The sequence below is a fragment of the Homo sapiens genome, chromosome 1 (assembly GCF_000001405.40).
Source record: "Homo sapiens chromosome 1, GRCh38.p14 Primary Assembly".
NCBI classification, from domain to species: domain Eukaryota; kingdom Metazoa; phylum Chordata; class Mammalia; order Primates; family Hominidae; genus Homo; species Homo sapiens.
The window spans coordinates 221,756,402-221,779,482 of NC_000001.11; the positions used below are offsets into that span (position 1 = coordinate 221,756,402).

A 23,081-nucleotide genomic window follows, 5' to 3' on the forward strand; every position below is an offset into this window, starting at 1 on the left:
CTAAACACTTTACTCCACTGGTTGGCCCTTCACTTGTTCCTTATAGCCCACGTAAACACCAGGCATGGCACAGTTAACTCTCCATAAGCCTGGCATTTTGAACAACTGGAATGTGCCCTTTCCTTGGTCTCTGAGGTTTTATGCATGTTGTTTCCTTCATGTAAGATTTTTGGCCTACATTTCTGTTGCCTCTTAGTTCCTTACCACTAAGAATAGACATTTTGTCATTCCAATCACCCAGAACAGTGCCTGGAAAATAGTAGGCATCCAGTACATGTTAGTTGAATGAATACATGAAGCCAAGGGATAACTTAGTTGATCTCATACTGAGCAGAGCTGATGAAAGTGGTGTCATTAAATGCTGCCTAATTATGGTCAAGGTGGTCTCAGATCCCAGAGCCTATAGAGAAAGTCATAGAACCCCAACAATGGATGTGGAGTGCTGTGGAGGCTGAAAGGCAGGAGAGCCACTACTGAAATGCATCTATTGGTTGTGGCTTCCTTCACTGAATCTGGTACATTCATGAAAGCATTCCTGGATTACATCAAAATCAGCTGTGGCTGAGATCATCTTTCAAAATGAGAATCTTACCATCCACACACTTTGTCTGCTACTCTTCATTTCTAGGTTTCCCTGGCTTCTCTCTCTTCCATCCCTAATATTACCATCCCCCTCCCCCATCACCACAAACACCACCACCATTTTGGCTTCTGTCCTTGACTTACCATTTAATTTTTGTCTTTGCATTCCTATAAGATACAACTTGCAAACTTTGGCGACAGACACCAATGTAGCAAAGAGAGTAAAACAGGCCCAGTTCTGACATTCTATCCTGGTCTTTAGGACTTCACCTGCTAGGCTGTCACTTTATGCCAAAAGAATGGTAGGTAGGACAGAGAGGGAGTGGGTGTGGGGAAACTAGCACAACCATTTGGAGCTAAATAATAGATTATGGCTGGAAACTCCCGTCTTGATTTGGCGCAAGGGCCACAGCTATATTTGGCTGGCCCCTGATTGACATAATTATTATTGCCAGAAAGTAATTTTAGAAAGAACTTAAAAGGAGGACATGGGTGATTAAACTTCTAATAATAACATTTTTTAAAAGTCTGGGTTAATGAATCTGTAACTTAGGTAAAAGAAAAGAGGCTTCAAGTGCTAGTACCTGGAACTGAGTTGGGAAAAAAAATATTCTTTTGGGGAGTCAAGTAGGGCAAGAATAGATCACATGCCCCTAAGAAATCTTGGGGAAATAGAGAGCGATGTAGCTCATTTTATACTGGAAGTTCTTCTAAAAATGTTGTGAGCAAAATAAAGTTTCACAAAGCAGATAATGTTTTGAATTAATTCACTGAGCATCCCTTACATGCAAGGCACTGTACTAGTCCCTTTGGAATATTCCCATGGGCATGCACCAGGCTGTTGTGAGCATGGGCTTAGGCATTCTTGGTGTTCATAGCCAGTGTCTGCTTTGATTGATGCCCTACCAGTTGTTAAATATTTTGAATCTAATAATTTTGAATATCACCTGGTAAGGCAAACTTCCTGTTTTGAAATAGCTTATAGTTTAGATGATGAGGTATGCTTACAAATAACTGTAATTCAATGCTATGTCATAACAATCGTCTTTGCAAAGTGCTTTTATACATTTTACCTCATTTGAACTCCACAGCAACTCTGTGGTGCATGTTCCTATTCTCATTTTGCAGATTAAAAAAACATGAAGTTCAAGGAGAGAGGCAGTCTTTCACATTTCGTAGAGCAAGAACATGCCCTGATTTGTCAACATTTTATCTCCCCTTTAGTGCTCACCCCACAGTGCCCATGGCTTTCCCTATTTAAAACAGCACATTTATTAATGCAAATAATTATTTTTTGAATTAATTATTGATTTCTAAATACAGATTTTCATACCCAAATAACCCTATGAAGATTAGCCTTTTAGCCCCATCATCCTGATAGGAAGTTTAACAAGCCTCCTTCTGAGAAACAAAGAGTCACAGGGCTCAGTTGATGTACATTTGGGGAAGCATGGAGTTGCCTTTAAGCCCTCTTCTAGGCAGTGAGGTATAAAACAAAAAAATACACAACAAAACAAAAAGGCAAGGGCAATGAGAAAGCTGACTGCAGAGGAAAGAACAAAGACAAAAATAAGCAAGCAAACAAACAACAAACAAAACTTTAAAAATAAAAAGTGCTCCATTATCTGGGTTCAGATCTACACTCCTGAACAAGCTGTAGCAAGTCACAGTAGCTCAGCACAGAACAATGTTGGTGCTCCTCATACTGGCTCTGAGTAAAATAGGTTAGAAGCTGCTGAAAGGAGTGCTAATGTTTCCAGAAATAAGCCCAGATTTTCTGGGAATTTACTCATGTAGAGCACCATGTTCTCTAAGGGGCCACATACACATATGGCTGCTTTTAAAACACCTCAAGTCTTTGTGTACAGGGCCACATACAACATGCAGGTAGGGCACAGGGAAGAAAACAAAATATCTCCTGAGGGAATGATACCTAGTGTTTATATAATAATTTGTCCAGTGCTTCTGATACAGGAGGATACCCAGATCTAGGTTTTAAGAGCTGGGATCCCTGGTTAATTTGACAGCTTTTCCTCTGTATCTAGCATGCATTTAGCCACGTTCCATCCATTCTACTCCCCTAGAAAGATTTCCTCCATGGAAGCATACAGAAAGACTATGTTATAATGGAAAGAGAATTTACAAATTGTTTAATGCACCTTCTCCCTCTTTTTATAGGAAAGGCAAATGAAACTTACAAAAGTGAAATGACTTCTTCAAGGTGACAAGAGAGGTTGGTTACAAAATCAATACTAGCAACTCTAATTTATGGTTATTGTTGCTAGGCCTTTCTTATTTCATGTGATTTCCATGTTTGAAATAATCTTACTATGAAAAGACTTGTGGAACTAGTAACTCCACTAGGTATTATAGTGTCAGTCACAGAATTAGGCCACCTTATTAGTACCTGCTCACTAGAACATCCTGCCCTCTATATGAGGAGGATTTCTGAAAAGTTTGGCATAAATTCACTTTTGATTATTTAGATTCTGTTTTGCACGTATTCAGGGATCTCTGTGGTGCATCTCTGAAAAGACTCCAGAATAAACTTTTTTTGTGTATGAAGCAAAGAGCTTGTTACAGGAAATATTTGCTGCCTGATTAATTCTTTTGACAGCTCTAACTGTGCTTATCTTAAGGCTGGCATACCCATATCGCATCGTCATCTGGTTTGTTTTGGTTGCTGATTAATTCACTTTGCTGCAAGAAGTGTATAAATTAAACCTCCATAAGGGCAGGGATATTTGCCTGTTTTGTTCAACCCTGAATGTCTGATACTTAGACAAGGGCTTGGAACATAGGAGGTGCACAATAAGTATTTACTGACTGAATAAATAAATTGATGTTTAAGAAGAGAATTCCTGACCTTGTCTCACCTCACTTGTGTCCATCTTCACAGATGCTCCTCCTGCTTGGGGCTGCTTCCTGTGAAGGGTGTGGCTGCACAGCTGCAAACCATCCCATCCCTGCCTCACCCGCACAGGTGGTCGCTGCCACCTAGGACAGCCTGGACTTTGCCATCTCCTTCTTGCGGAGTATGAACAAGCAGGCCTCCAGCCCGATGCATCAGATCCTTCCTACCATGGCTCTCCATCTTCCACCATTCTTCATGGGACTATCTTCTAAGCTTCCTCAGAGTATGTTTTGTCCTCATGCTAGAAGCGGCCCCACTTAGGTCTACCCACTGTTGGAGTTTCCTCGATCGCTCATCTTGGAAAGTACATCCCCATCCAATACTGGGTGGAGACCACATTGGAGACCTTATGGCCCTGCTCCTGCTAACAACCCAGCACTCTGCTTCCCACTAGGTGACAACGCTGCTGCTGCTGCTGCCACTGTTGCTGCCCACTTTATAGACAGGTGCAGCTTAGTTTCCATACCGTTGTTGAGTTGTAAATGCCCTCTGTGTAAAGGTCATCCACAGTTGTGAGGTATATCAACATCATTTGGAGACAGGATGGCGTTACGGTTAATGGTGTGAGCTCTGGAATCAACTGACTGGAGGTTAAGTCTGGCAACTTCTACTTCTTGTATAACCTTGGGCAAGTAATTTAATTTTTCTACAACTCAGTTTTCTTATTTGTAAAATTGGGAAAATACCAGAACCTTTCTTGGAGGGTAAAAGTGAACATTAAATGTGAAAAGTTGCTCACAGCCTGGTAACTATTACAAATGCTCAATAAATCTTTTATATATATGACAGGAGAAAAACAAATGATTATTTTCAGTGGATGGCAAGTCAAATAAAAGTAAAGAGAAAGCCAGATATCAGAAGAAAACAGGTTCCAAGGGAGAGATTAGGGATGGGGTTGGACTAGAGGAAATGTAGGCAAAGGCAGGATAAATAATGTTGGAACAGGTTTGTAGGGAGGGAGAAGCAGAAATTGGAGATAAAGAAAGAGTAAAAGGAAGAAGGTATATTCTAAGCTTTTAAGGAAAGAGAATTTTAGGGAAAGACTTTGCCAACCGGTTCTCATCACCCCCACAATAGTGTGTGCTCGCTCCCTCTGACTACAAGAACCTACAGTCTTTCTTTTATTTTATAATTTTATAAATTCTTACCACTAGACTGTAATCTCTGAACAGTAACAACTCCTCCAGTTTTACTCACTCATGTATCCCAGCGTCTAGCTTAATCTTTTGGACCAGATATCTGACTGCATAGGAAGCAGCCCAGGTCTCTTCCTGTCTTTTCAGAAAGCATGGGCTTCAAATTCATTTGATTTTAAAATAATGATTGAAGATATACAAGTGGTTAGTCCCCTTCCTGCCTGCTCTTGCTATGAACACAACAACAAAGATAAATCAATAAAAGTTGTGTTTATTCTCCTTAACTTCAGTTCATTTTGAGATTTAGCCTCCTGTTTTGTATTCACTCAACAGTGTGCTTTGCTCAGTAAGAGAAAACAGTTGTGGATGATCAGGACCCTGATCTATTTTACAAGTTTCAGTTGCTTTTTATACTCATAGGTGGTCTAGGTCTCATCAGGGAGCCTCTCAGGGCAGACAAATGGCAGGTGGGTGGAGAGGCCCAGCTTTCTGTTCCACCCCAGCTCAGCTTCTGAGCTCTGCCCCTAGGTTCCAGCACAATTCTGACCATAGGTGAGAGAGACTGCATGCCAGTGCCCATGTCCCAGGTCCTCTGTGCTGCTTAGAATGTGGTTCCAGGTTTCATTCTCCAGCCCTTTCCCCACAGAGGTTACAATCTTCAAACTGGGCTTTGACCACTTATCTCTGAGTCCTTGCTCTAACTCTCCCTTCTCTCTTAAGACCACACGTTGCTTTGGTCCTAACAATAGTAACAACAGTAATAATAGCTAACATTGAGTGTTAGCGGTGTGCCAGATATGGTGGGAAGCATTTTATTTGCATAGCCTCATTCGACCTTCACAATCATCCTGTGAAGTATCAGAACTATTTATTTCATTTCACAGATGAGGACGCTAAAAGAGGTTATGTAACTTACTCAAGGCCACATAGCCTGGAAATGTCAAAGCTAGCCCTCAATCCAGATAATTGGTCTTTCTGCTTCTTTATTATGTCTCTCTAATCTGTTCCTCTTACAGAATAATTCTTTAAAAGACAAAAATCTGAATTGGTCAGCCTCCTGCTTGAAACACTACATTGTTATCTCTCCGCTTTTAGAATAAAATCACTTTGTATTGGGAGGCCCTGGAGGGTCTGGCCTCTACTTCTATCCCCAGTTTCATCTCATATCCTTTCTTCTTCCCTCACTAAATTCCAGCCTCGCTCAGTTCCTGGAGTAAATGGACTCCTTTCCAGCCTTAACATATATGAGTATGCCATTTCCCCTCCGGAAGGCTCTTATCTCAGCTCTTTGCATATCTGGCTCCATTTTTCCTTCAGTTCTGAGCTTAAATGCCACTTCCCTAAGAATTTTTCTAAATTGAGTCCTCTTCTTATTCTGTGTCATAGCACCCTGTTTATTTTCATCATAGCAGATAACATTTTGAAATTACTTGTTTACTGGCTGATAATCTGTATTTTTTTCTTTCTGTTAGAATGAGTTTTTGATGAGGGCCTGAAGGCAGAGACTTCATCTCACTTATCATTGAACACTTAGTCCTTTGCATATGTAGGTGCTCAGTACATATTTGTTGGGTGTGTGAAAGAATGATCTCTCTAACTCAGGGGTAGATTTGCCATGAAGCTAACAAACTTAAGCTTAAGAGTCTATTACTTGCTAATGGCCCTAGCATTGTGTCCACATGGTCACATATTTTTGAAAAATTGTCAAAACTGACATATTTAAATTGCAATTGGTTAAAATCATTGGGGGTTTTATGTACTTCTCAGACACTTCCATGTATAGTTAAGTTGCTACTGGCTATTCTCAAGCAAGACTGATTTTCAGGAATACTTCCACTGTTCATTGCATGACCTCACTTGCTGTTGTGACACAAAGATGCAGGGACATGGCATCAGAAGTATGTGGATTATATGTGGATTGTGGAGGAGAAACAAGGTTTGAAATGTTTGGCACCAGGTGCTAGTTTACAGAAAATTCTTCCAAATCTTATAGCTCATTTATGAAACTTCAACAGTTTTTCCAACTTTAATAACAATTCTGAAAATGTATTTGGCATTGGTAATAATGAATAACAAATCTGAAAGAAACTTCTCTAAATTATTGGGTTGGTGCAAAAGCAATTCCGGTTTTTGCTATTACTTCTGCACCAACTCAATATCGTTAGTTAAAAAAAAATGAAAACAAAAATTTCCTATAATTGTGGATTTATGACACTAGATGAACCTTAATATACACAAATTTTTAAAAATTTAGGAAGTCAGGAGATCCTAGGATGGAATGCAGAGTGTGATATAAAAATCTAACTGAATTAAAAATTTATGAAACAAGCTTACTGAAGTGGATGGGGGAGAAGGAGAAGAGCCTTTGGAAATGAGTGGAATCTGTAAGACTCAAGGCAACAGACACTGCATAAGCACTATACCCTATCTGATAAAGTTGTGTCCCACAGGCATAAGGGTTAATAATTCCAAAATCACTATCCAGGTGTCTTAGTTATTTTGTGCTGCTATAACGAAACACCTAAGACTGGGGAATTTATGAAGAACTGAAAGTTCTGGAGTCTGGGAAGTCCAAGGTCAAGGTGCCAGCAAATTCAGTTTCTGATGAGGGGCCCAGTCTCTCCTTCCAAGATGGCACCTTGTTGCTGTATCCTCCAGAGGGAGTGAACACTGTGTCCTCACATGGCAGAAGAGTGTAAGAGCAAACAAGGTCCTAAGCTAATTCTCTCCAGTAGAGCCCTCATGACTTAATTACTTCCCCAAAGGTCCCAACTCTTTTTTTTTTTCTTTTTTGAGATGGAATTTTGCTCTTTTTGCCCAGGCTGGAGTGGAATGGTGCAATCTCGGCTCACTGCAACCTCCACCTCCCGGGTTCTAGTGATTCTTCTGCCTCAGCCTCCCGTGTAGCTGGGATTACAGGTGCGCACCACCACACCTGGCTAATGTTGTATTTTTAGTAGAAATGGGGTTCCACCATGTTGGCTAGGCTGGTCTTGAACTGCTGACCTCAGGTGATCCACCCATGTCAGCCTCCCCAAGTGTTGGGATTACAGGCACAAGCCATCGTGCCTGGCCCGGTCCCATCTCTTAATGCCATCAAAATGGGGATTAATTTTTGACATGAATTTTGGAGGACATATTCAAACTATAGTAGCATGTATACTGAAATTAAATAATTAAGTAAATAGATGGTGGATGGTGAGAGCCAGGTTTCTCACTATTGGAGTAGGAGGTTACAGAAAAGCAAAAGAAAGAAGCTAGAATGAGCCATAAGATAATGGACTGGAGTTAGAGACATCAGTATGAACTGATGTTTAGCTTCATATAGATATGGATAGTTACATATGGAAATATTTACTGATATGTATGTATACACAAGTTAGTATATACACCTATTTTTCCTTGTTTTGTCAGTGGCAAGGGCCCACAAGCAATAACACTGTAGTAGTAATGAGCACACCTAATACTTACAACTTCGTTTTTAATATCATTCTCCAATAAAAGGAAACAGAGCACTTTGGAGAAATAATTGATTCTGAACTGGGAGAGGAAACATACAAGATGAATCTGGAGCATCCTATAGTGTCAGAAAGTAAGAAAGGATTTAAAAAAAAGTACAGGGGTATGTTAAAGGGGCACAAGAGCCAACTGAAAGAGCTCCCAATGGTTAAAGCAGGAATAATTTGAGCAAAAAATAAATAATATTTAATTACAACCCAACATATAACATAAATATCCACAAGTCCATAGTGATATACATAACTGTTTGAATACATAGGTAAGTGGGTGAGAAGAGACAAATTTCTCATGCTGAAGCATTCCAACTAATTTATGTAGAATTTCTTTCTCAAGGAGGTGGACTATAACTCACCACTCCTTGAGTATAGGTTGTGCAGAATGACTTCCTTTGAAGGAATACAGCATGCAAAGGAGTACAGCAGGGGAAACGTGCAGACTGTTCAGCAGAGAAACCTAAGAAGCACCACCTCAGCCAGGAGACCAAGGTCAACATCGATATTAATAATAAGTCATGTTGGCAACATAGACCCTTGATATGATGTGATGAAAATGGTATTTTACTTCTGTGTTTTCTTCCTCCCCAAGAGTGTAACTTCAGTCTAATCAGAAAAACATCAGACAAACACTGATTGAAAGACTTTCTACAGAATACCTGACCAATATTCCTCAAAACTGGTCCTCAAAAACAAGGAAAGTCTGAGAAACTACCACAGCCAAGAGGGGACTAAGAAGACACTACAACTGAGTGTAATGTGGTATCTTTTATGAATCCTGGAGTGGCAAAAAAAAAAAGATATTTGTTTACAACTAAGAAAATCTACCTAAAGTATGAACTTTCCTTAATAATAAAATATCAATATTGCTTTATTAATTATAATCAATGTATCATACTAATGTGAGAATCTACAGGAAACACTAGGTATGGGGTGTATGAGACCTGTTTATACTAACTTTACAAATTTTTTTTGGTAAATCTAAAGTTATTCTAAAAAATAAAGTTTATTTAAAAACTTTCAATAAGATTTGTTAGAGAAAAGACAATTTATCTTTATACTCTCTGTACAGAAAATGATATTCCAAAACCAGTGATATATGAAAAGGTGGTCAAAGAATATGTGGTGAATATATACAAGAAAAAAAAATACTTTAGAGGTGAGTCATGCAGTTGTGTTCTCGAGGCCATAAATTAAGTTGAGTAATTAAGTTGTGTTGTTACACTATTTTTCTGTATTTTGTAGAATTTGTGAACCACTAGCTTTGCCACATATGTAATTTTTTGTGACTTCTCATTCTAAATGAATATCACTTTTGGATCAGATTTGGTATACGTAATTTGGTACTGTTTTCCTTACATTGGATTCCCCCAAATTGTATAAGCTTCAAGCCCCACAAAACCCCCTCCAACTCCAGAGCTGACCTCAATGCTAGGTCAATGGCCATACCTTGAGCCCCAGACCAGATGCTTGGGGACCTTATGAAACCCCTCATTTGCCAACTGCAATATGCTTTATTTTATTTTTTTAACCAATAGTATTTCTCCCCAATCTTGGTAGGAGTGTGTGTCTGTGTTTGTGTGGGTGTCTGTGTATGTGTGTGTATACATATACACATATAGCACTTCTAGCATCCTTGTTGAAAAAGAAATGTCCACTTCCATTTTCTGCACTTCTCATGAGGATAAAAAATCAAATTGCACTGGGAGGATAGTGGAAATATTATTTAAGGTGTAAACTGGGAAATTGTTCTAGTTTTGGTTTTTTATTTCAGATGGAAGCATTTGTTGCAGACTCTGAACTTAGAACAGTGGTCAAACAGATGTTTTCATTTTAGGAAGGCAGGATGGGTATCCAATTACCAAACATCCTGTTAAAGTTCGTGTGTGTGTGTGTGTGTGTGTGTGTGTGAGTGTGTGTGTGTGTGTGTGTGTGTGTGAAATAATTGCTACCTTTGAGATTCTCAAGATATTACTGGTGCCAAAAGATCAACAAAAATTAGATGATTAATTAAACCTAACTATAGAAAAATTATTAGCTATAACTGAAAACAATAAGTCAAACCATTCGTTTTAGTCAGTTATTTACTCCAGAATGGTTGCAAATGAGATACTGTCTGTGAGATGCTCTGCACAGTGTCTGGCACAGTCTACAGTCCAGTTGTGGCTTCCTCATGCGCTGTACTCTAGTCTCTCTGTTCCATCTAGCCACGTTGGTCTTTCCATACATCAAATGGGCCTTTGCACATTCTTTGCTCTCTCTGGAGCCCTCTTCTTCCCAACCTGTGTCAGGTTCCCTTTTAGATGCTGTCATAGAATTATAACCTTTCCCTCACATCACTAATCTCACAGTGATTATCTGATTAATATATTTCCCCCACCAGGTGATAAACTTCATGAAAGCAGGGACAGTAGCTGTTTTTGTCACTAGTGTTTTTCTCCTGCAGAGAGCTTAGCATGTACTAAAGTTTCAACAGTATTTGTTGAATGAATGAATGTTTACTACCACTAACAAATGATTATATGTTGGATTTCACTGATTTTATGCTTATTTTGGGCCAGGTCTTCTCCCTCTGTCTCCGCGTTTCCTTCCCCTCCTGCCTCTCCTACTCCTGTTTCACCACACACAGCCCTCCTTTTCCTCCTCCCCTTTTATTTCTTCCTTCTCTTCCTCTTTTTCCATCATCATCATCATCATCACCACCATCATCATCATGCTATAATTATGGAATATTTACTAGACATTCTGCAAAGGGATTTTCATAAGTTAACTCAATGAATTCTCACAAAAATCTCAACACAACAACAATGGCAGTTTATTACCATTTCCATTTTTCACATGAGGAAAACTGAGTTATAGAACGTTATTGACTTGCCCGTGATCATACGTTAGGTACCAGTTAAGCCAAACTTTGGTCTTTTGGAATTTACTGAGATTTATTTTACGGCCCAGCATGTGGTCTGTCTTGTAAGTGCTCCATGTGCACTTAAAAATAATGTGTACTCTGGCCAGGCACGGTGGCTCACGCCGGTAATCCCAGCACTTTGGGAGGCTGAAGTGGGCGGATCACGAGGTCAAGAGATCGAGACCATCCTGGCCAACATAGTGAAACCCTGTCTCTATTAAAAATACCAAAATTAGCTAGGCGTGTGATGCATGCCTGTAGTCCCAGCTACTCGGGAGGCTGAGGCAGGAGAATCACTTGAACCTGGAAGACAGAGGTTGCAGTGAGCTGAGATCACGCCACTGCAATTCAGTCTGGTGACAGAACAAGACTCTGTCTCAAAATAGTAATAATAATAATAATAAATAATAATAATGTGTACTCTGAAGTTATTTGCTGTAGTTTCTACAGATGTCAATTAGGTCAAGTTGATTGATGGTGTCTTCACATCTTCTATATCTTCACTGAATGTCTATATATATATTCTATCAATTACTGAGAGTGGTTAGTTTTATGTGTCAACTTGCATAGACTTTAGCATCCAGTTTTTTGTTTGTTTGTTTTTAATTTTAGATTCGGGGGCACATGTGCAGATTTCTTACATGGGTATATTGTGTGATTCTGAAGTTTGGGCTTCTAATGAGTCTGTCACCAAATGGTGAATATAGTACCCATAGGTTTTCAGCCCTTGCCCCCTTTCTTCCCTCTTCACTTTTGGCATCCCCAGTGTCTACTGTTCCCATCTTTACATCTAGGTGTACCCACTGTTTAGCTCCCACTTGTAAGTGGGAACACACGGTATTTGATTTTCTGTTTCTGCATTAATTCACTTTGCATCTACGTTGCTCCAGGAAATAGGATTTTATTCCTTGTTACGGCTGCATAGTATTCCAAGGTGTATATATACCACATTTTCCTTATTCAATCTGCTTTTCATGGGCATCTAGATTGATTCCACGTCTTTGCTCTTGGGAATAGAGCTGTGATAGATATACGAGTACAGTTGTCTTTTTGGTAGAATTATTTATTTTCCTTTGGGCATTTACCTAGTAACGGGATTGCTGGGTTGAATGGTAGTTCTGTTTTCAGTTCTTTGGGAAATGTTCAAACTGCTTTCCAGACTGGTTGAACTAATTCACATTCCCACCACTAGTGTATAAGCATTCGCTTTTCTCCATAATCTCTCTAACATCTGATATATTCAGCTACTTAAACAAACACTAACCTAAGTGTTGCTGTGAAGGTATTTATTTTGTAAAAGTGGTTAACATCAACGATCAGTTGACTATTTGTGAAAGAAATTCACCTTAATTATGTGGGTGAGCCTCATTCAATTAGTTCAAAGACCAAAGAGAAAGATTGCAACATCAATTCCTGTCTGAGTTTTCCTTTTGTCACTTCCTTTCATGCTGGCCTGCCCTACAGATTTCAGACTTGACAGCCCCACAATAGCATGAGCCAATTTTTTGAAATAAATCTCCCTCTATGTGTATATCTGGATCTATTATGATTTTATATATATATATATCCTAGAGATTACATATATGATATGTAGTCATCTATAAATATATGCATATATAACATATTTAATATGTAATCTGTAGATTATATATAAAATATATATTCTATTTCTTTGGAGATCCCTCACAGACATGGGGTGTTAAAATCTCCTTTAGGATGGATTTGTCTATTTCCTTCAGTTCTGTCAGCTTCTGCCTCACATATCTTTAAGTTCTGTTATTAATTACATTCACATTCAGATTGCTTTATCTTCCTAATGATTTTCCCTTTTATTATTATGCAATGTTTCTCTTTGTTGTTAATACTTAAGTCTACTCTGATTAATATAAACACAGAATTTTTAAAGTGCATATTATTCATACTTTATACTTCTTTCCATCTTTTACTTTCTATTTATATTGTGCTTGTTTTAGACAGCATAATTGAGTATTGCTTTATTTATTCAGTCTGACAATTACTTCCTTTTAATTGTAGTGTTCAGTTCATTTACGTATAATGAAATTATTTATGTAGTTGAATTTTACCTACCATCTTGCTGTCTATTTTACATTTGTCCCTCATGTTTTTGTTCCTCTGCTGCTCTTTTTTAAAACCTATTTTGAGTTAATTGAATAATACTGGTATTGTGTTTTATTGCTTATATTGTCTTCTTAGTTGCATCTCTCAGCTTTTGTTCACTGAAAAGGTATTTATTTTATCTTCATTGTTGAAGGACATTTTTCCTTGGGATGTAGAAAGCTTGGTTGGCAGGTTTTTGTCCCATTTATCACTTTAAAGGCATTGCTTCAGTGTCTTCTGGCCTCCATTGTTTTCAGTGATAAGTAGTCAAAATCTCTTATCATTTCCTCTTGTATATATCCTTTTTAAAAATGATAGATAGATAATTGATAGATTATTCTTTAGAGCAGTTTTAGGTTTACAGAAAATTGAAGAGATAGTACAGAGAGCTTCCATATTCCCCATCTCACCCCCACTAAGTTTCCCCTAAACATCTCGCATTGGTGTGATACATTTATTATAATTGATGAATCAATATTGATACATTATTTTCAGCTAAGTCCACAGTGTACATTAGGATTCACTCTTTGTGTTGTTCAGCTCTAGAAATGCACAATCATGTCATGTATCCACCATTATAGTATCATAGAGAATCGTTTTACTGCCTTTAAAACCCCTGTGTTTTGCCTATTTATTTCTCTCCTTCTCCCCTCAAACCCCTTGCAACCACTCATCTTTTAGCTGTCTCTGTAGCTTTGTCTTTTCCTGTGCGCTGTCCCTGTAGCTTTGTCTTTTCCAGAATGTCATATAGTTTAAGTCATATAACTTGTATGTACCTTTTTCACAATGGCTACTTTCTCAAAGCAATATGCATTTAAGATTCCTCCATATGTTTTATGGCTTGATAGCTATTTATTTTATTTTATGTTATTCCCCTCTTCTTTTTAAAGCTTTTTCTGTTTAGTTCTGGCTTGCAACAGTTTGACTATGATATGGCTGGTGTGGTTTTCATTGTATTAATTTTGCTTAAGATTTCCCCAAATTCTTAGATTTGTAAGTGATGTTTTCCTTCAAATTTGGAAATTTTTCAGCCACTATTTCTTTGTGTTTTTTGTTTGTTTGTTTGTTTTTGTTTTTTTGAGACAGTCTCATTCTGTCACTCAGGTTGGAGGGCAGTGTGTAATCTCAGCTCACTGCAACCTCTGTCTCCTGAGCTCAAGCGATTCTCATGCCTCAGCCCTCTGAGTGGTTGGGATTACAGGCATGTGCCACCATGCCCGGCTAATTTCTGTTATTTTTTATGAAGATAGGGTTTCACCATGTTGCCCAGGCTGGCCTTGAACTCCTGGACTCAAGCCATTCTCCCACTTCAGCCTCTCAAAGTGTTTGGACTACAGGCATGAGCCACAATACCTGGCCCACCATTGTTTCTCAACACATTTTTTTTTTCTTCTCCATTCTCACCCTCCTCTCCTGAAAATCCAATTAAATGCATGTAATTACTCTACATGTTTCTGAAGCTCCCTATTTATTTTTCTTTCACCTTTTCCCCTTTGTTCTGCTAATTGGATAATTTATATCTATATTTCTTTAAGCCCCTTTAAAATCTCATTAAGTCCTTTTATTCTTCTAGCTCAAATTTTCCTTTAAGACCTCCTAGTAAATTTTTTACTTTAATTATTTTACTTTTTAGTTCTAAAACGTCCATTTGGTTCTATTTTACGGTTTTGTTCCCTCTGCTAAGATTTTCTATGTTAAAATATGTTGACCATTAAAATATGTTCATTAAGATCTTGTTTTCTTTAATTCTTGGATATATATTAGGTAGATGCCTTAAAGTATTTGTCAGCACAGTTCAACATCTGGGCCACCCTGAGGTCAAATTCTATTGACTTCTTTTGCTTGACCATAAATTATATTTTCATGAGTGTGTTTGTGTGTGTGTGATTAGTATTTTCTATTGTACACTGGACACTGTAAATTATACATTTTAGAGACACTGGACTTTGTTATCAGTCTCTTAAGTGCATTGGGCTATATTCTAGCAAACAGTTCAATTACTGGCCAATCACTTTGAACTTGTTTAGACTTTATGTTAGGTTTAGTCAGGGAAGATTTGCAAAAAGCCCAAGATATTGCCCAAGGCTTTTTATTTTGGTGGGTTTCAAATTCCTAACTCTGTTTTCCATGCAGATCTTGTCAAAGCTTGGTATGAGGGCTTGATAAGGTGATTATAGAATAGGTCTTACTCTAGGGCATGCCCCTTAGGTCTAGTATATGACTTTCCTCAGCTCTCAGGATTTGGGGGCCCTAACAAGACCCTACACTGGTTCTCCGACATCTCCAGCACTGCTCGACCTCAAGTATCTCTGTTCCACTTGTAATCCCATAGCAGCTGCTACTTGATAAGACTCCTTTTTTCTTCCTCTGCACACACAGACTATGTCCCATTCAAGAACTCTTGGAGAACCCCTAAATAGATTTGTGGCCCTCTCTTCACATCTCCCTTCTCTCCTATGTCCTACCCCACAGATTCCAGCCCCTTTATCAGCCTCAATGCTAATCCTTGGCTAAGGGACACCCCTGTGCTCTGCTTTGCTCCGTCCAATTCTCTCTGCTATAATGTGGATCTGTTTTCCATGAGAAGAGAGCTGGAGCAAATGTCAGTTTCATCTTGTGTGTTTTCCTTCTCTCAAGGATCATAGTCAGGGGCAATCTATTGTTCAATAACTAAAAAAGTGCCTCACGCATGTTGTAACAGTTTTATATTTGTTTATGGCAGGAAGGCTAGTCCAGTAATAGTTGCTTCATCAAGGCCAGAGATAGACGTCCTGATGAAGCCAGGATTTAAATCCTGTCCATCTGAAACCAGAATTAGTCATCTCAATCACTATGCTATCAGGCCTCTCAGTATAAAGAAAACAAAGTTGCAACCATAAATAAATTAGGAGCAAGGCAAAGTGCGTGGTTAAAATCTAGATTGGGGCTGTTGACCAAGGTATATCAATTTTCAGATTGGATGGGATGGATAGAAGCCGTTTATGTGAATAGCAGTAATAATAACATCATTCTAACCTTACAGAACTTTGAATATCTTCAAAGTGCCATTGTTCTCATTATTTTACTCTCACAACAAACAAACCTTTTTATACCCAATAGATGAGATGCTGTCATTCCAGTACGACAAATGAAGAATGCAGAGACCACAAATAGTGAATTTGTTTAACAAAAATCACACAGCTAGTTAGAAAGGGAGTGGGACCAGAACCTAGGCCTTCTCACTGCTGAACCTTTGTTATCTGCCTTCTCCCAACAAAACTAAGGACATCCTCATAGAAAAGAAGGGGCTGGGGGAGCAGTTACAGCTTTACGTCAAGAAAGAGGACTTTGATCACAACTACACAGTGAAAACTTAGCCTTCACCTGTTCTATCTGTTCCATGGATATTTGGCCAGAGACACAAAGGGAGAAGTGGCTGGACACAGTGGTCTGCTTCTTCAGAGGGAGAACCTGGGCTCCCCCAGGACATCTACCATAAAAGATGGCAAAGACATCTTTCTAGACCTTTATAGCAGCCCATTCTTCATTCCCCGCTCTTACTTACCCAGAAAGAACACTGTTCAATGTAAAATAACTATGTAACAAATAACTGCAAGTCACTTCGCAAGTATCAAACACTACAGAAGTAATTATTAATATCTCATTCTCCAGAGTTTGGATTTATGCCCTATATCCATCAAGTGAGCCTTGGAAAGAACTTACCTAACATGTGTATATATATATATCTATATATGTATATATAGATATAGATATATAGATATGTATACACACACACACACACACACACGCATGCATGCATATTGTATAATGCACTTTATCTTACCTTCCGGAGGTAAGAATTTATGTAGCAAATTTTGGATGGAATTAATTATGGTCGAGTTAAAAAAAAACCCTCTTCAACAGTAGTTCTGATAGAAATCTTCACTAGCCTTTATCAGTAAAGGTTCTGCTGGCTCAGCTATTATTTTATCAATCATATTTAAAAGTAGTATTCTTCCTATAAGAGTTTGTTCCATGTTTGGCTTATCACTTAGATGGAGATAACAGGAATTAGGAAATCTGCAGTTGATTAGCTTGCAAAGCTCCAAAGCTGGAGCTGATAAGTGGCTCCTGTTCTCCTTAGGAAGGGTGGGGAGGCCTGTAGGTGGTTCAGGCTCCCAAGCCTGGTGGGGATGAGGAGAAAGGGGTGGTGGCTAATTCAGCAGATTTATTGCGGTGTTTCCCTTCTTCCAGTTTCCCAGCTTGTGGAAAATAAGGGCTTAGACTCAAAAACCCAGGGAAGAAAAAGAATGAACTATAAGCTTTTTTCTTCATACGGGAGACAGATACAGTGCCCCAATATAAATCATGCCTGCTTATGGGGCAGGCATTTCTATAACGGAATTTCAAAATGTAGTCAATAACTTTATTTTACAGCTGAAGACACTGAGTCCCAGATAATTCACTGAGGACTTGGACTTAAGTTTCCTTCTGGTCACAATCACAATGCATTGTCTTTAGGAAGACCCCACATCCGCTTGGATCATCAAGCAGGGCCCTGAAACAGCACAGCAGCCATGGCTAGTTGATAGGTGGGGTTTGCCAGACCTGAGGGCAGGAGAGGGACAGCCGAGACCTGAAGTACATGGGCTAGGAAAAACAGTCATTACCTCTTATATATGTAGAGTGCTGGACAGTTCATGAAACTGTCTCCATACATTAGCTCATTTCCTGCTCATGTCATCCTTTGAAGAAATTAGTATAATCATCTTTATATCGCAGATGAAAAAATAAGCCCCAGCAGGTTTAAAAAGCAATGATCATCGTATATCTAAACTTGAGCACAACAGGAATTTGAACCTGAATTTTTTTGTACCATATCCAGAATTCTTCTGAGGTTCCGAACTCAGTTGTCTTGTGTTCAAAGCCTATAGGCCCTGTTACTGCAGGTACGAGCCTGAGAACAATGAAGGGGCGCTTTCCGGAACTGCTGTGTGAGCTTAATGCTATCTCTGCCATTTCCTTGTACTCCTTTAGCAAATCCTGTGTAAATAGAAGTTTTATTTGAACAAAGGAGAGTGTCCAGGATTCTTCAGCTTTGCCTTCAGCTTTGCAGCTGGAGAAAGTAAAATCTATGGAGATAAAATTTAAGCCAATCAAACAGCAAGAACAAGCAAAAAGCTCTCTCCTTCTCCCTTTTATTTCTTGCTTTTCTTGGTGAGCTTGTTTCTCTCCCTGACTAGGAATAAAGGCCTCTCTTTGGGCACAGACAGCATCTTATTCATCTTTACATATCTCTTCCTGAGATACAGGCATAGTGTTCTTTATGTTACAGATACACACCACATGCTTATTAAACAAAAATTAAGTTGTGTACATAACTCTTATCACAATCCACTGATGCTATAAAACTAAGTTAAGTTCACCATCCAGGCTGGGCGTGGTGGCTCACACCTGTAATCTCAGAACTTTGGGAGGCCAAGGTGGGAGGATTGCTTGAGGTCAGGAGTTCAAGACCAGCCTGGGCAACATAGTGAGACCCCCATCTCTACCATAAAATAAAATAAAATAAAATAAAATAAAATAAAATAAAACGAAATAAAAATAAAAACTTCATCATCTCTTGGCTTTTATCTCCTTCTAAGGAGGTCCTCTGAACCTGCCCACTCCTCAAAATGACAACATGTTTGGTGTTTGGAACACAGAAATTAATCTTGTGCTTTTAAAATGTATAGTTAATGATTAAGGAAGCTCAGACTTAGCACAACTCAGGGTTTTCCCTATGATGCAAACCAAAAACGGCCAATTCAGTCAGTTCAAAGAAAAAATACTCCACCAAGTTGTTAGGTGCTTTCCATAAACATTACTGTGTACCAAAGGATTTCACCAAGTTGGTAATCGTGTTTAACAATCTTCCATTATAAATGCACCTAATAATTGGATAGAGAGTGGGAAAAAGACATTCGATTGACTATGTTTTGAAAATCTTGATATTTGATTGAATTGTATTGGTGGCATTGAGGAGTCAAAGGCTGCATCTTCTGGGTCTGTGGTCGACACCTTGGCTTCCCAAAATGAGGACGGCAGCTACACTGACATTGCTTGGGAGCTTCTTAGAATGCAGAATCTCAGTCTGTGTCCCAGACCCAAAGGTTAAGAATCTGCATTTTAGCAAGATCTCCAGGGGATCAGAATGTACACTGACATTTGAGAAGCACACAACTTAACCTCTAGCGCTTTGTATTTGGAAATATAGAGGCACCAGATTTCACCCCACAAATTTGAGCAGGCAGAGTTGGAGGAATGTCTCCCTGTAAAACAAAGTTAGAGGAGACAGTTTTGGGCACTGCCTAGCTTTGGAGCCCTGGGGAAAGCCATGGCCAAAGAAGATTATGAAAGCCACAGCCGAGAGTCAGTCTTTAAAAAAAAATAACAGCTTTCTTGAGATATAGTTTACATATATGATTCACTCTTTTATATTATACAACCCAGTGAGATTTTGTATATTCACAGAGTTGTGCCACCATCAAAAATTTTAAAACATTATTATCACCCCTAAAAGAAATCCGTACCCATTAGCCATCAGTTTCCAATACCCTCATCAACTCCCCACGCTGGGCAACCACTAATCTACTTTGCATCTATATACATTTGCCTAATCTGGCTTTTCGTCTAAACGGAATAATACATAATGTGGGCTTTTGTGACTGGCTTCTTTCACTTAAAATAATGTTTTCAGGGTTTTGCCATGTTGCAGCATGTGTCAGCTCTTCATACCTTTTGACAGCCCGATAATATTCCATTGCACGGATTATACATTTTGCTTATCCACTCGTCTATTGATGGACATCTGGATTGTTTCCAGTGTTTAACCATCATGAATAAAGATGCTATGCACATTGGTTTACAAATTTTAGGTGTGAACATAAATTTTTACTGGAGAAAGTTTTTTTTTTTTTCTTAAGTGAAAGCAAGTTTGTTAAGAAAGTAAAGGAATAAACAATGGCTACTCCATAGGCAGAGTAGCCCTGAGGGCTTCTGGTTGCCCGTTTTTATGGTTGTTTCCTGATTATAGGCTAAACAAGGAATGGATTATTCACAAGTCTTCCAGGAAAGAGGTGGACAATTCCCAGAACTGAGGGTTCCTCCCCATTTTAGATCATACAGGGTAACTTCCTGATGTTGCCATGGCATCTGTAATTTGTCATGGCGCTAGTGGGTGTGTAGCAGTGAGAACAACCTGAGACAGTTTTGACCCTTAAACAAAGTGGGTGATATGGCTGTCAGCAAGAGAAAGGCAGGTAGGCAGGACTTCTGGGAGGAACAGCCACCTGCTCAGGAAGAAACCCTTCCACCCCAGCTCTTCCACTACCTGTGCAACCACCAGCAAATCACGAGATATCTCAGATCCACGTCTGCAAAACGGACATAAATCTTAGCCACATTGACCTCACACTTCCTTTTTTTTTGTGTTTCATATGGGATAATTAGCATAAAGCTGTTTTCAAAGGAAAAATACTACACAAAGACCCAACAGGATAGTTGTTCTTATCACATCACTGTCATTTTGGCAATTCTTGAAATTGCCAGTACCTAGTGAGCTAATGACCTTCTCACTCAGAACCAGGGAAGGAGAATCACACTCAGGCCTTTCTCTCTGGTGCCTGAAAAGATTTTCAGTACAGTAGAGATGTGATCTCATTGTGACTCTCAGAAGCTGTGCTTAGGCTTTCAGTCAATAGGCAACCTCTTTGGGGATAAAAGAACCATCTTATTCACAATGGCTTGCTGTACAAAAAAAATTAGAATAAAAGAATTATTTAATTCGTTGATTTATTCACTACTTTTTAGCATTTATGATGTGCTCAGCAGTGAGTTGTGTGCTTATAGAGGGTGGTGGAATGAGCGGCGGTAATATAAGAAAGTACTTGAAATTTGATGCTGCTTTTAGGGGAAGCCAATGTGGCCACTTCTGCTTTCTTATTGACTATTGGAAATGTAGTACAGTACTAGTAATTGTACTCTGGAATGGGCCAGTGGAAGCCAATTCGGAAAAAGCGGTCCAAGGAAGACTATAATGCTTGGAAGGAGAAGGGGAAAATGACAGAGGAAAAGAAGAGAAAAGATGGAGAGAGAGAAAGAGAAGAGAGAAAAAAGAAATTATAACTTCTTCCACCTTTAAGGAAGTGATGAGCCCACATATAGCCCAGGTGATTTTGAGCTAAATATAAAGCTTGTGAATTCCCCCCAGTGCCCAATTTGGCCCCTAGAGGTGGAGACAAGTTCAGTGGCCACAAAACCAGAGACTCTAAGTTCATAGAAGGGAGGAGAGAATGGTAGATGTGTGGGAGCAGGGAATTTACCTGCTTCCTGTTTCGGCCCCTTTTGCTAAAGTGAAATGCTGTGGTTTTGCTGGTTATACTTGTTAATACAATTCCCTCCCCTTGCAGGATATGTGTGTGGTAACGGCACCATCTGGGTTAGCGAAATAGATACTCCGAGGTATAACACACTAAACACAGCAGGATGTTTATAAAATTCTTAATCTGGGCCCTTTGGACCACCAAGAATAGACATAGAGATTATACAAGCAAATTACTAAATCAGGCTGAAACCAGACATATAAGCATTTTCATAAATACTTAAAAATTTACCTATACCACGAGAGGCCAACTCTCAGACCATTCTCTGAGAAATACTAGACCACCCTGAGATGCTGGTACCTTAAGCACACATTGTCTCTTCTTGTTATGTGGTCATCACCACCAGGATATCCGCCCCTCTCCTGCCCTGAACATCTAGAGCAATTTGGCTGGGCACAGTGTTCTTTCCAGAACATTTGATTGCTATACTTACATAAGGAGAAAACTCTATTTTCATTTGAAGACTTCAGACCTCCTTCACAAAGTGATACTGCAGTGAGGAAAAAATGCAAACTGAGGAGCCACGAAAGCTTGCAGCTGAAACAGTGGGGTCTTAGACAAATGATTTTGCCTCCTCATCTGTACCACAATAATAAGAAAGTTCATCCGACAGAAGTATTTGAAAAAAGCATCTGCTTTCATGTCTGGCACATAGTAGGCATTCCAAGAAGGCTAGTAGCTCTTACCCACGCCCCTTTTGAGGTGATTTTCGCTTACAACCAAGCCAGAAGGAAGTCATAAAGCTCACGGGCCTTACATAGAGAGGAAGCATCAGAGAGTTCTCACTCACAGCCCTCACTGCTCAGTGCAGGAGCCGCCCCAGTTGACAGGACTCACTTCCTCTGTCTACACTCCCAAACCTTCTGTGCCCAGCAGTGTGTGCACATCTGTCTACACTGAGCTCTAACCAGAGTGCCTGGTTGGGGTCATGACCTGGCTCATTCAGCAGCATGAGCTGGAAAGGACTTTGGCTAATAGGACACCTGGTATCCAATAAATTCCCCACCCTGTATTTGTGACTGCTAAAAAGCCGAGTACAGATGATAGGCAATTCATTTTGATGGTAAAGAGTGGCCCGTTCAGGGGAGAAAAAGGGAGTCCCCTAAAGAGACCCTGGGTGCTCAATGCCAGGAGCAGAGTGAGCTTGTGTACGGGATGTGTGCTAAGGATGTGTATAGCATGGTGAGTTACATTTTTAAAAAATCACAAAAAATGTACAGGTCTAGGGCTGAAAGTTCTTAGAGCTGCCTCACAAGAGTTGAGGTCCTTTCCCATTGTTTGCAATCTCAGATTGGTTCTTCTTCCCAGGGGCACATGGCACATAGCACTTTGGTGATGGGGACTGCTTTGCTGATGTCAGGGTCAAGGGGTGCATGGACCATGGGCAGAGTGCTGGGCTCAGCCAAATGGTTCTGGGTAGGTCTTGCCTCTTGTAGCTTCAGTTTTCTCTTTTGTCTGGTGAAGTTATTACGAAAACTCATCTCTAGCCTTGGCTTATGGGATAATATTCTT

The 23,081-nt window shown here is 39.4% G+C and overlaps 4 annotated features.

The window, feature by feature from the left end:
• Positions 21,169 to 21,258: an enhancer, noted in NCBI's record as "active region_2567". NCBI's record gives its function as "activates an Ori minimal core promoter by ATAC-STARR-seq in GM12878 lymphoblastoid cells {active_cell/tissue: GM12878}" and the evidence as "EXISTENCE:reporter gene assay evidence [ECO:0000049][PMID:35858748]".
• Positions 21,329 to 21,378: an enhancer, noted in NCBI's record as "active region_2568". NCBI's record gives its function as "activates an Ori minimal core promoter by ATAC-STARR-seq in GM12878 lymphoblastoid cells {active_cell/tissue: GM12878}" and the evidence as "EXISTENCE:reporter gene assay evidence [ECO:0000049][PMID:35858748]".
• Positions 21,409 to 21,458: an enhancer, noted in NCBI's record as "active region_2569". NCBI's record gives its function as "activates an Ori minimal core promoter by ATAC-STARR-seq in GM12878 lymphoblastoid cells {active_cell/tissue: GM12878}" and the evidence as "EXISTENCE:reporter gene assay evidence [ECO:0000049][PMID:35858748]".
• Positions 22,509 to 22,558: an enhancer, noted in NCBI's record as "active region_2570". NCBI's record gives its function as "activates an Ori minimal core promoter by ATAC-STARR-seq in GM12878 lymphoblastoid cells {active_cell/tissue: GM12878}" and the evidence as "EXISTENCE:reporter gene assay evidence [ECO:0000049][PMID:35858748]".